The sequence below is a fragment of the Homo sapiens genome, chromosome 2, assembly GCF_000001405.40.
Source record: "Homo sapiens chromosome 2, GRCh38.p14 Primary Assembly".
Taxonomy (NCBI): domain Eukaryota; kingdom Metazoa; phylum Chordata; class Mammalia; order Primates; family Hominidae; genus Homo; species Homo sapiens.
In genome coordinates this window covers 48,747,171-48,759,875 of record NC_000002.12, presented here as the reverse complement: position 1 = coordinate 48,759,875, position 12,705 = coordinate 48,747,171, and the positions used below count along the sequence as shown (strand labels likewise).

The 12,705-nt window shown below is 42.5% G+C and overlaps 2 protein-coding genes across 5 annotated transcripts in view, besides 2 other annotated features; one reads left to right on the top strand and one right to left on the bottom strand.

Annotated features, from left to right (window-relative positions):
* The window catches only part of STON1-GTF2A1L (STON1-GTF2A1L readthrough), a 246,595-nt gene that overhangs the window by 16,644 nt on the left and 217,246 nt on the right, over window positions 1-12,705 (bottom strand). The gene's annotated exons all lie outside the window — the stretch shown is intronic.
* Window positions 3,818-4,594: an enhancer, noted in NCBI's record as "H3K4me1 hESC enhancer chr2:48982421-48983197 (GRCh37/hg19 assembly coordinates)". NCBI's record gives its function as "activates a minimal SCP1, AML or CMV promoter by ChIP-STARR-seq in naive H9 embryonic stem cells {active_cell/tissue: H9 hESC(naive)}" and the evidence as "EXISTENCE:reporter gene assay evidence [ECO:0000049][PMID:30033119]".
* Window positions 4,152-12,705, top strand: part of LHCGR (luteinizing hormone/choriogonadotropin receptor) — a 68,951-nt gene continuing 60,397 nt past the window's right edge. For all 4 annotated transcript variants that reach the window (XM_047444293.1, XM_047444291.1, XM_047444292.1 and 1 more), the window contains exon 1: window positions 4,152-4,365. In XM_047444293.1, the coding sequence (XP_047300249.1) occupies window positions 4,205-4,365 (161 nt within the window). In that variant the 5' untranslated portion in view covers window positions 4,152-4,204. The remainder of the gene's footprint in view (window positions 4,366-12,705) is intronic.
* Window positions 9,491-9,650: an enhancer, noted in NCBI's record as "active region_15748". NCBI's record gives its function as "activates an Ori minimal core promoter by ATAC-STARR-seq in GM12878 lymphoblastoid cells {active_cell/tissue: GM12878}" and the evidence as "EXISTENCE:reporter gene assay evidence [ECO:0000049][PMID:35858748]".

Here is a 12,705-nt window from a genome sequence, read left to right as displayed (position 1 = left end):
TGTGGGAGGTGGCACAGATGATCGCAGCTCTGATTTTACATTATGTAGACAGTGAAATGGAGATGAAAATTCTAAACAAGCAATAAAGAATTTGCATGAAATTTTGGAGTGTAACTTTCATGGACTGTCTTTTTTATTCTCCTTATTTTGTTTTGTTTAGTTTTTTTACCCCAGGTAAAAAGGTGAACAGCTCAGAGATGTAACTGTATTTTTCTCTTCTTAAGCAATTTTTTCTTCCTCTGCCTACATTCACCTTTTCTTCCAAGGGAAAGGTAAAACCACTGCTTTTAAGTGAGAAGAAATACCAGTTATTATACTAACAGGGTATGTGTTCAATAATCAAAAAACCTTGCCTATTCTACTTAAGGTTTTAAAAATTACTTTGCTAATCCCATTACTGGGAATACCCAAAGGATTATGAATCGTTCTACTATAAAGACACATGCACATGTATGTTTATTGCAGCACTATTTACAAGAGCAAAGACTTGGAACCAACCCAAATGCCCATCAATGATAGACTGGATAAAGAAAATGTGGCTCATATACACCATGGAATACTATGCAGCCATAAAAAAGAGTTTATGTCCTTTGCAGGGACATGGATGAAGCTGGAAGCCATCATTCTCAGCAAGCTAACACAGGAACAGAAAACCAAACACCACATGTTCTCACTCATAAGTGGGAGTTGAACAATGAAAACACATGGACACAGGGAGGGGAACATCACACACTGGGGCCTGTTGGGGGATGGGGGGCAAGGGGAGGGAGAGCATTAGGACAAATACCTAATGCATGCGGGGTTTAAAACCTAGATGGCGGGTTGATAGGTGCAGCAAACCACCATGGCCCAGGTATGTCCATGTAACAAACCTGCACGTTCTGCACATGTATCCCAGAACTTAAAGTAAAAATTTTTTTAAAAATTACTTTGCTAATGTCTTTCAACTCCAATGTGTTAATGTAACTTCAGATGCTATTGAGTTTTGACCTAGGGTGGCATAAAGAAAATAGATTCCATGATTTTGCAACATGGCTCATTCCATAAATAAATAAATAAATTTCAGCAATATAACCAATTAAATAATTTTAGACATTTAAACACAGGTATACAGAATATACTATTTCTATGCTTATACATATCAAGGTTTCTTTTAAGATGCATCAAAATTATTAGGCTTCACTCAAAGTCCTTAATAAAGATTCTTGAGCTTTGTTTTCTTCAGGCAAATTTAATTCTAGGATTACCATTTTTGTATTCCTCAAATTGTGCTCTAGGACTACATGCATCAAAATTACACGAGAAAGCTTGTTAAAATGCAGATTATTGGACCCCACTCTATATCTATGGAATCAGAATCTCATAGGGAAAGTTCTAGGAATCTTCGTATTTAAAGCTTTGCAAATGGTATTTCTGCACCCTAAAATATGAGAAGCTCCATTCTAAAACTTTGGAGAGTTTTAATTGCAATTTCTGAGTTACGGTGTCAGTATGTTTTTCTATCTCTAAAGTAGGATAAAATATTTGTGAATTCTGTGAACTTTATTTTGTCATTAAAATGTAATCAGCAATCTTTGTGGGTCATGTTGGTTTGAAGTTCTCTGACAAAGTAGCTATAAGCATAGTTAATGAAACAAAGTCCTTTGGATTTAAAAATACTCACTCATAATGAGTATTAATGAATAAGATAGGTAAATTCCATTGTAACAAACTTTTGTGATTATAACAAATGAATCAATATGATTTTATTATAATAGTTACATTGCAAGAACTGATGTGATAATTAAGATCCAACTGAAATTAATCTAGATAGTAAAATTTTATGAAAACTCATTACAGTTGTTAGCTTTCTTCCAAACGAACAACCTCAACTCCTCATAAACAGGATTTTATTTCCAATCCAAGACAAGTTATAAGAAGTCAATATATACAATCCAATTCCTCCCACTAGCAATTCTGTAGGAGCTGCTTAGAAAGTCCTTGCATCTTTAGAGCCAGAAGAGCCTTAGGGATAGTGAACTTCAACCCTTCTTCTTACAGATGAAGAGACTGAAGGGCAAATCTCATGATTGACAGCAGAAACAGAAGGAAAATCCTAGTGTTCTGATTGCCTAGTCCTCCTACTGGAGTACAGAATTAAATGATTCTTCTGGAATATCCATTGTTTTCAAAGATTCAGGGGTGGGTGGGAGCAAACTTTTTTTATATATAACAGGTACACTACAGGGTTAAAAAAAGAAAAAAGTCACATAAAACATGAGACTTGAAAGAAAAGCCATTCAGGCACCTTGAGTTATTCATTCTTTCTCTCCTTCCATTCAAGATACATGGTGAAAACTTTTAAAAATCCCAGTGCCTACCCCAACTTCCCTACCAAAATCTGACAAAACTAAAAGAGAACAGAGAACATGACACCCAAAGTCGTCATGTATAATTACTTTTTACATATCCAGATAGATCCAGCGTGGTTGAGAATAAAGCAAGTGAGGGTATCAAGCTCTTCTCAGATAGTTTACTGAGCATCTACTACAAATCTGGGCCTCACTTATTCACTCTATTATTCAACAGACACATATGGAACACCTACTAGGAGCTAGAAGCTATGACATGCTCTGTTGATATTGAGATGAATAGAGAGGGGAAAGCAAAATTAAACCCACAATTACAGTGTGTTAGATTACCTGCTGTAGAACCAGGTGTTATGGCCACAACTACTCAACTAGGATGACTCAGAGAAGAATCAAAGTGGAAATGACATTGGGCTGAGTCTTGAAGGACAACTGGGAGTTTATCTAATGGAATAATGGAAAAAGAAGAGAAAATAGTGGGGACAGCCCATGCAGAGGTATTAAAGGGTGAGGAGTCATCTATAAGCAGTTGAAGAGAGGATCCAGAGAAGACAATATTATAGACATGAGCATTGTTTTTGTGCCATCTAGCACAATGTGGCCAAAGCCAAACAAGTTTTTAAAATAATAATAATCTACCCTCCTTGAGCAACAGACTGTAGAATGGTGAATGAAGGAGCCCATCCTTGAGAACTGGCTTCAGAGTGAAAGAAATCTATTCTTATATTTCCTCTCTTCAAAGCCTTAAATGCCTTCCCAGCTTTCAAAGTCCACCTCTTCCAGCAAAACTGCTAGGATTTCCAGAATCCAAACAGAATCCTTGGAAGGAAGAAATGATCAAATCAAAGAGGGGATATTATGGATCCCCATGATTACCGTAAAATTTTGTCTCCTAAGTTCTTTGGTATGTAGATCATAGCAGCTTTTTGCATTGGTGAGAGGTGGTAGGTGATAGACATGAGTTCCAGGTTTCACTACTTTAAAACCGTGTGACTTCAGGGAAGCCACATACCTCTTGGGACATTTTTCTCATCGCAAACACCCTGCTAGTTCAATGTGGAGCTTAAACATGATGTGAGGCAGAGCACCTGTTACAAGGTCTAGCCTATCCTGGGCCTTCTATGGGGCAGCTGCTACCAGTATTAGGCAGTTTCATTCATTCATTCAACAAATCTTTACTGAGGACTTACCATGTAGAAGCCAGAAGGAATACAAAAATAAATCTGAATTGGATTTTGCTCTCAAGGACCTCCCAATCTATAGAAGAGATACAGGACCAAGCCAAATAGCTATACCATAAATAAGAAAGCATTTACCACCAAGAGAAATTACTGGGGTAGTTGGGAGGATGGGCAAAGATTACTTGTAGAGTGGAGGGATTTGGTGAAAGAGAAGGGGAAAGGATTAGGGGTTGAGGATAAAAGAGAGGAAAAATGTCTGAGCCAGGCACTCTTACGCCTTCTGATGTGGGTATAGCGAGTATCCATCGGACCCTTTCACAAATGAAATAAAAGGGGTTCCGGGAAGCGTCACAACTCACTCAATTCAGAACTCCCCACCTCTAATCCAAAACATTTGCCATTAAATCTCTTTACCTCCTATAGCTAGGGCCATTTGCAGATGGTAGGGGACAAGACAGGGGAAAGTAGCAGGAAGGAGGTTATTGGGTCACTGGGCACTGTCGCAGGTCAAGGCAGAGCAGACTCAGCGGGGTGCGCGGTAAGAGGGGGAGGGCAGGGGCGGGCCGGCAGGGAAGGGTGTGTGGAAGGGCAGCCAAGGGGCGGGGAGAGGGGTGCGGGCCGCACTCAGAGGCCGTCCAAGACACTGGCAAGCCGCAGAAGCCCAGTTCGCCGGCCATGAAGCAGCGGTTCTCGGCGCTGCAGCTGCTGAAGCTGCTGCTGCTGCTGCAGCCGCCGCTGCCACGAGCGCTGCGCGAGGCGCTCTGCCCTGAGCCCTGCAACTGCGTGCCCGACGGCGCCCTGCGCTGCCCCGGCCCCACGGCCGGTCTCACTCGACTGTGAGTACACAGCGCTCCCGTCGCGGCGCCCTTGATGCAGGACCCTCCATCGCTCTATGCCACCTTCCCTCCCTACTCCTTTGGCCCCCTTTCCCTGGAAGCTTGGAGAAAAACGCTTTGCCCTATCAAATTTCCCCCACGTTTTAGGGTGATGAGAACCCAAAACTTGGTGGTTGTTTTTACCACCCCATGCCTCTGAGAGCCCCAGCCCCATTCTTTACCCCTGGTTGGGGCTGTGGCCGGGGGAGTAGAACTATTCAGGAACCTCAGGGGAAGGCCTGCTCTCTGCCGCTGCTTGAAGGGAATATGGGTGTGACGCTCCTCAACTCCTCTGGCAGGGGTCTCTGCCAGAGAAGTCTTACAGGCCTTTGAGCCTTGGGCCAGCCACGTCAGGGAAGGTGAATGTGAGCTCTGGCACCCTGTGGTCCTCTAGGAATGGAGTGCTCAGGCCCTATGGCCAAGGGTGACCTAATCTGTCAACTGACTGCTGGCAGTCACACGGGCATCTTAGTGAGCACACAAGCCGCTGCTCCACCGTGCCCAGATGTGCTTGAACTTCAGTCTCATGGTCTAATGGACCAAAGGCCCTGTGCCCTGCCGCTGGCACCCGCGCACCACCTCCACACTCACAGGCCTGATTGAGGGATTGTATACATCAGCAACCTGGGGGAGGGCGTTGTTTCTGGAGTAATGGGGTAAAGAGGAGAAGGGGAGCCTTTAGTACTAGACTATCAGGGTGTCATCAGGTCTCCTTTCTCCTATTTAGAAAAAAAAGTACCACATATTTTATAATACTATTTACATGAAATGTCCAGATAAACTGAAAGTAGATTAGTAGTTACCAGGGCTGGGGAAGCGGATGGGAGGGACAGTAGGTGACTACTAATCAGTGGGTATGGGCTTGGGGCGGGGGGGTGGTGAAATTTTTGTAAAATTAGATTGTAGAGACAGTTGCGTGTGAACATATTAAAAACAATTGCATTGTCCACTTTAAATTCTATAGTGTAGGATTTACATCTCAATACAGCTGTGAAAAGAGAAAAGGAAAGAAAAGAAAGGGAAAAAAAGACAAAAGACAAGAGTATCTAAAAGGCTGGTAGAGGTCTTGATCATGTCCTAACAATTAGAGATGATGGAATTCTGTGCTGGGGAAGGAAGGAGACCACCCCCTCTGCCATTTCCTTTGAGCCCCCAACAGTCTGTCACGGGCTGTTTCATAGAGGAGACTCACCCTCCCTGCCAGGCCAGGCTTCTTCATGTGGAAAAGTTAAAGGCCTTCTGGGAATAATTGTGGTTGAGAGATACAGTTAAAGGGTTGAGGGGTTTATATTAATTAGTTTCCATTAATTATCTTGTCAGGTCCATTCCCTGAAGGAATGGACCATGCTGATAGAATTTGTTTCAATCAATCCACAAATCCATGCAACAGGCCTTCCAAGTTCCAGCCCTGGTCCGTCCCTGACAAGCATGCCATGTTGCTCTTAAGAATGACTGTACTACTAACAGACTTTCTCACTTGCCTGCTACTTATCATACAGATTAGAAGAAACTGAGATCCAAGGAGAAGGAATAACTTGCTCAAGGTCTCACAGCTATTGAATAGCAATTCAGGATTTTATCTATTAATTATCTTTTTAAATTTGCTCATCTTTGTAAGAAAAACTACTGCTTTCTTAATAAAACACACACACACACACACACACACTCAGTTTCTCCAAAATTAGTACTGAGCAAAGAACTCCCACTGGGGGCATGAATGGGTGGGCCAAGTCCCAGTTCCTTTTCAATTCAGCTTTTCAGTAAGATCTCTCAAGGGCTCCTGCTGCCACGTGCTGTTCTCAGGAGGGGACCCCCTTCCCTGGAAAAGGCTGAAGTAAATTTTTTTTAAAAATCCCACTTTCTCCTGCTGCCTTTCAGCAGGGTTTCAAGAATCCTAGAACCCCTCAAAAATATCTGATAGGGCTGACTAGGTTTGGGGGTAGAGACCCTGAGCATCCACCACCAGGAACATCCTCTGCCAGTCATTTAGCCTCCTTAGCCAAGCGTGGTGACCCTCACAAGGTTTCATTTCCTGAGCACCAGATGGTTGAGAGATGCCCTCATCTTTCAAGAGATGCCCTTGTCACTCTGTGGAGGTTGAGCCTATGCAGGCCAAAACAGGGTAACTTTTGGCACAACATAGTGACACCAACATCCATATGACAAGAGAGGTGCATGTTAAGCAAAGGGAGGGTTGTTACTTCAAGGCAATATTTCTCAAAGTATGGTCTTAGCTCAGCAGTATGAACATCACCTGGGAAATGTTAGACTGCATATTCTCAGGCCTCAGCCCCAACCTACTGAATCAGAAACTCCAGGGGTGGGGTCCAGCAGGCTACAGATTAACAAGCTCCTCAGGTGATTCTGATGCATACTAAAGTTTGAGAACCAAGGCACAGCTCTCCAGGGAGGTATCATCTTAGAGAGGAAAAAGTATATTTTAAAAGTCCTTGTGCCATACACTTCCCTTCCCCACCCCCCCCCCCCCCCGCCAAAATCCGGCATAACACCTATTTATTGCAAAAAGGCATAAAATCAAAATCCTAAACCCAGAGGCAGACGGAAAATAAGCAGAATTGAGGGAAGTTTTTTTTTTCCTCAAAGAGGACTGCAGGAAGGAATCCATGGAGGACAGACTGAAGATACAGGGAATGAGGGAGGAATGTTAATTGTCAGATCTCAATGGGGGTAGGAGGAGAGCATCAGTCTAACAACATGGGGGAAAGATTAACCTTAGAAAGAATAAGAAGTTTTGAGTCCTGAGGTAAGAAGACCTATGGGTAAAGGAATAACTCAATATTAAGACAAAGGACAGGAAAAGTGGACAGGTTCATACTGAAATCCTCTTTTCTTGATGATGAATGCATGAAATGATAAACAGTAATTATGAGACAGAAAACTGCTATGATGGCAAGTTATCAGTTCATAAAAAAAAAAAAAAAGAAAGCTTAAATTATGAGGTAAGTCTTCCAGGAGGAGAGGATGTGGTCTTGCACTACATTATCATAGACTTTGCCTCTGCAGAGAGAAGGGGAGCACTCCAAGTTCTCAGGGTTGGAGGAGGCAAGTACTGCAGAGCACCTTAGGATTCAGCATTAGTCCCTCAATAGATGTTAATTTATGCTTTAGTCATTTGGGGTCCTAGTAACCTTACCTTCTAAGACCTCCATCCAAAGTTCACTATTTGGTTTAAGAAGAAGAAAAAAAACAAGGTACATGGATTATAGCTGCTTATCACTGACAAGCCTGCTGCTTACAAATTTTGAAAATGGCATCGTTCAAATTTTTCCTCCCCTTTCATATTTTATGAAAAACATAGGTATTTAAAATCTAAAATGTGATACAAAATATAACCTCCCACATTTCACTCACTTTAATTGGGGAAAAAATGAAAGAAAAAACTGATTTAAAAAATTTCCTTTCCTTTCTTATTAGTTCTAGGCAACTGGAAAGAGGAGAAAAAAATCTCACCTTGCCCATGGCTATATAAAGATCTTTGTCTCTATGACAACAGAAAGGTTGATCTGCTTGATATGGAAACAGCTTTTGAAAAATCTGTTAGTAAGAAAATGCTAATAATAATTATGGCAATTTATTTTTTGCATGTTGTACCTACTGAACAGAAATTAAACTTTTAGATTTTGTTGAAGACATAATCCAGAGGCCTTGGCAAGATATTGGCTTGGTACAAAAGTAATTGCCATTACTTTCAATGGCAAAAACCATGATTACTTTTGCACCAACCTAATGCAATGTTCATATCGATCCAGCATTACTCTTTCCTGACACCTTTCTTGAGTGTCTTCCTCTTCCTCTCACTTGCAGTGTAAATCAGGGTCCAAAACAGTGTTCAGTGCCGTAGTGTCTTTGAGAAGCCCACAATGTAAGTGGAAACACACCCCCAAGAGACTGGTATAGGTGTAGAGAGAAAGACAACAAGGCTCTAAGGAATTCACAGAATGAATTAATCACTATGAACTGAAGTCTCCAAGGGAAGGCTTCATGGGCCAAGTGTTAAGAAGCTGAACTGTGAAGAAGGAAAGAGGGGTCCTGGTGGAAGAACCACAGGTTAAAATCAACTAGAGATTCGTTGCTGAGAAGCAAGGAAGAAGGTTGAATAAATTCTTCCCAGGCTGGGGGGGAAATATTTCTTAAGAGAAGACATAAAGTTATTAGAGAGCTTTGATTACTCAGACGTTGTGCAAAAAGAAAAAAAAATCCCAATATGTAGTTATTGACTAATAAGCTTTCAATTAAAGCCATTATTTGATGATTGGTTGCAAAGGCATTAAGTAAAAACCATGATTAGGAGTCACTTCCCCATGAAGCCTTCCCTGATGCCCACTGCCCCACCCCCACTCCACCTCCATCTTCCCCATCCACATACTCACTTCAATATCCTGGGCTTACATATATTTTTGTACATATCTCACCATAATGCAGCCATTTGTTCAACATGTGCCTCTTCTGCCAGAGCAGGTTTCTAAATCTTAGCAATATTGACAATTGACAATTGGGGCCAGATAATTCTTTGTTATGGGAGCTGTTTTGAACCTTGTAGAATGTTTTCCAGCATCCCTGGCCAGGAGCGCTGCCTTCCCAAATTGTGACAACCAAAAGTATCTCTAGACATTTGGCAAATGACCCCCGGAGGGGGCAGGGGGAAATTCCTCCCCACCCCTTGGTTTTGAATCATTGTGCTAGAGTAAGAACCACCTGAAGAAATGTCATTCAACTCAGGGTTCCCAGAATTTCACATGTAGTATAATTAAAGTGTTACTGAGTTTCATGATTAAACTGAGATAGCTGAATAGGAACAATTAACTCATGCAGAAAAGAAGCATGTCTACATCAGCTAGCATGTATTACAGCTAAATGTCATTTTTTAAATCTCTGTTTTAGAAAATGGGGAAGTGAGAAAATGCTATAGGTTCTGAAGGGAGTTATTTGTGTTATGTCAGCATCCAGGTCCTATAACAGAATTTGTAGGCTTCCAGTCTATCATTTGAATGGGAAATAGCAGACATATCAACTTCAGGGAAGCAAGACCTGAAGCTTACCTATATCAGTATATTCCATCTAGATTGTTTTCATTTTATTTTTTTAGACTCAGTAGGGAAGAATCAATCCCCAGCCCAAGATTCCTTAATAAAAACAAACTGAAAGCAAACAAAAACCACCAAGGCAGCCTGAATTGAGACAGATGGCCTCCTGGTGTAGCACACAAGGTAACAGCCCCCAGGAAAGAATCCACAGACAGAAAGAAGACTACCACACTCTTGCAAGCAAGACAGCTTGGCCCTACCCTCAGCTTTCCTAAATCTGGGCCAGCCAAAAAATCTCAGAATTAAGAAAGTTTATGTCCCACCTCCCTAGCCTACCCTCACCACCACCACAACCACCCCTAAAGAAACAAAGGCCCAAGGTTGAGGTTAATCTGGAACCTTAGTTCTGACTCAGCTCTCCCAGCCATGCCTCAAGGCAACTCTTAAACCTGACCTTGCTGATACACAGACTCCTCGGGAGAAGCTCAGGAAGGACTAGATTTTATTTGTTTAAAAATCACTCTGCTGGGGAAAGTGAATGATAGCCCCTAGCAAGACACTAAAAAACAAGCAACAGAGTTCCCAAAATCTCAACGCAAGTGTAGAGCCAAAAGGTTCACACACAGATCTCTTTGGCATTGGACCCAGCTCCCTCCTTGGAGAGTAGTAATTCCTTGGGTTTTTCTTCTTTTTTTTTTTTTTTTTTAATTTCAAAAGCAGTAAATCAGATTAATTCAGGGCTCCAGTTCTGCTCTTTTGCCCACCTCTATCTTCTTCCTAAGCCCCTCAGTTGGCTTCTTTTCATGTCTTGAAATGAGGCAACAAAGGTCTCTTTCCAAAATATAATCTCCCAGAGTGGCTACACCAAATGTTGTCTTGGCCATGTGTAATTCTGATCTTATACTTGAGGTTTTAAAGCCAGTTGAGTCACAGTGGTGAAGAGAAGCCCTGCTGCTCACTTCCACAGCTGAGAGGGCTGGCTCCATGGGAGCATATGTGCTTTGTTCCAGCAGCTCCCCTTGGCTGCAGAAAAATCATATTTAATGCAGATTTTAGCAAATTCCCACCCAGCTTTTTTTCTTATGAAAGGAATTAAAATAATCCCTCCCACCAGGCAGGTGGGCTTTCTGACTTGGTGGGCAGCTTCTAGCTGCTTCTCCACAGGGTCCTCATGTACTCCCAGCTTCTGCCTCACTGGAAGATGACACCACCTCCTGGCAAACCACTCACAGCTGCTCTCTATGTGGCCCTGAACCTCAGTTCCTTAATGCCACCTCAGCCAAATTCAGAAAAGTACAATTTATAAACAAAACTCAACTTTCAGAATGAAGATTTAATTCCTTGCTGCTGTTACACTTGTCCTTGACTCTGATGTAATGAGGTTACGCTACTCCTGGGTTCCTAATTGCACCTCATGAGTAGCAGCAGACAGCATTTCTGAGCCCACAGAGGTGAGGATGCTGTGGTGTGACAGGGTAGGGTCCAATGCAGTCCCCAAATTATTCAAACTGATCAACAGGACAGACTGGGCAGAACTGGGTTCTAGCACCAGGTCCCCTTTTTCTAATTTGCACTGTAGGTATTGGCTCAATGATGAAATCTCTTTGCTGTCTGTAAAAGGGACATGATGATTCCTGTCCCTGAGTGGGACCAGATATAGTGAAGATAAATGAGACCAAAAAAAGCCAAAAGTATGGAAATAAAGTTTTCACATAGCTACAAGGTATTATTGTAATAATCTGATGATGCAGAGAAGACTAAAAAACCCACAGCCCATATGTGAGGTTGAACAGTAAATATCTATCATCCAAGGGGCAAGCCTGATGGAACAGTTTTGTTCCTGGGAGGTGTTAATTAGAGAAAATGACCCACTAGGCCTTCTCAACCTGGAAAGTGAATAAGTTAGAATCCCAAAACAGCAGAGCTCATTATTGCCTTGAGTCTAATTTCTGGCCTTTTCAGCCCAAACTTAGCTGCCCCTGACACATACCTCCTAATACCTGATTATTGGCTGTTTTTGGTCCTGTCTGCCCAGCTAAAGCATCCAAGCCCATTCTGGATCTTTTCCTCCCCCCTTTCCCCATCCCTAAGCCTCAGACTGGACACACAGAAAGCCTTCAGGTGAGACTTGTTGGCCACTCAGGAAATACGTACTGAAATGTACAAGATAGCATGCAGGATCCAAAGATACCATCTCTGCCCTCCAGGAGCTTATAGTCTTCCAGATGTAGAAGAGGTATCCTCTTCTCAAATGACTACAGGGAAATGGAGAATGTGATAAATGCTAGATAAAGGTTATAAACAAGATAGGAGTTCAGAGCAGGGAATCATCTCTTCTAGCCAGAGTAACAAAGAGGCCTCAGAGGAAGTGTCATTTGAACTTCCTCTGAGTGTTTTAAGGCTCATTCTCTATAGAGGCAGCTGGACTAGCATGGTTATCCCCTAAGCTCAGTTCTGGCCAGCTTAGAGAGACCACTGAGGAATCGCTATTCAAAGCCTTCGGTCCTCTCACTGAGCAACAACATATGCCCTGTGTTATGGACTGTCCATAGAATAGTGGATTACTTCAACCTGGAAACCTTGGGTGGGGCTCTGGGTAAGTCTTTTTTCATTTGCAAGCACCAGAAATCAATTCTGACCATTTTAATCATAAGAGATTAACTTAATAGAAGGATAAGAAGGTAGAAGTATGCTGTGAAGATGTAAGGAGAATATCTGGCATCTTAGCAAAAGCTGCTCAGGGAGCTTTCCCCTAGATTTACAAGGAGTCGGTTCCAAAAACGACTCCTCTCTGTCCCTCTTTTATAAATTTCCAATTCCCAAAAAGAGAATCTGACTGACCCAAGCACACCCAGCATAGAATCGATCTGCTCAGTCAGCAAGATTCTTCCACCATAATGTGGCGAGTTCTGAGGTACTTCCAGAGAAGGGCGCATTTTTGATACAGGCAACCTCATAATGGTTGCTACCAGAGGGGATAAGTTAGTAAAAAGTGAAGGCACACAGGCCAGTAATTTCAGGCACTTCAAACCCATTCTCAGGCACAGTGGCTCACGCCTGTAATCCCAGCACTTCTGGAGGCTGAGGTAGGTGGATCACTTGAGGTCAGGAGTTTGAGACCAGCCTGGCCAACATGGTGAAACCTTGTCTCTACTAAAAAATACCAAAAAATTAGCCAGGCATGGTGGTGCTTGCCTGTAGTCCCAGCTACTTGGGAGGCTGAGGCAGGAGAATCCCTTGAACCAGGAGACAGAGG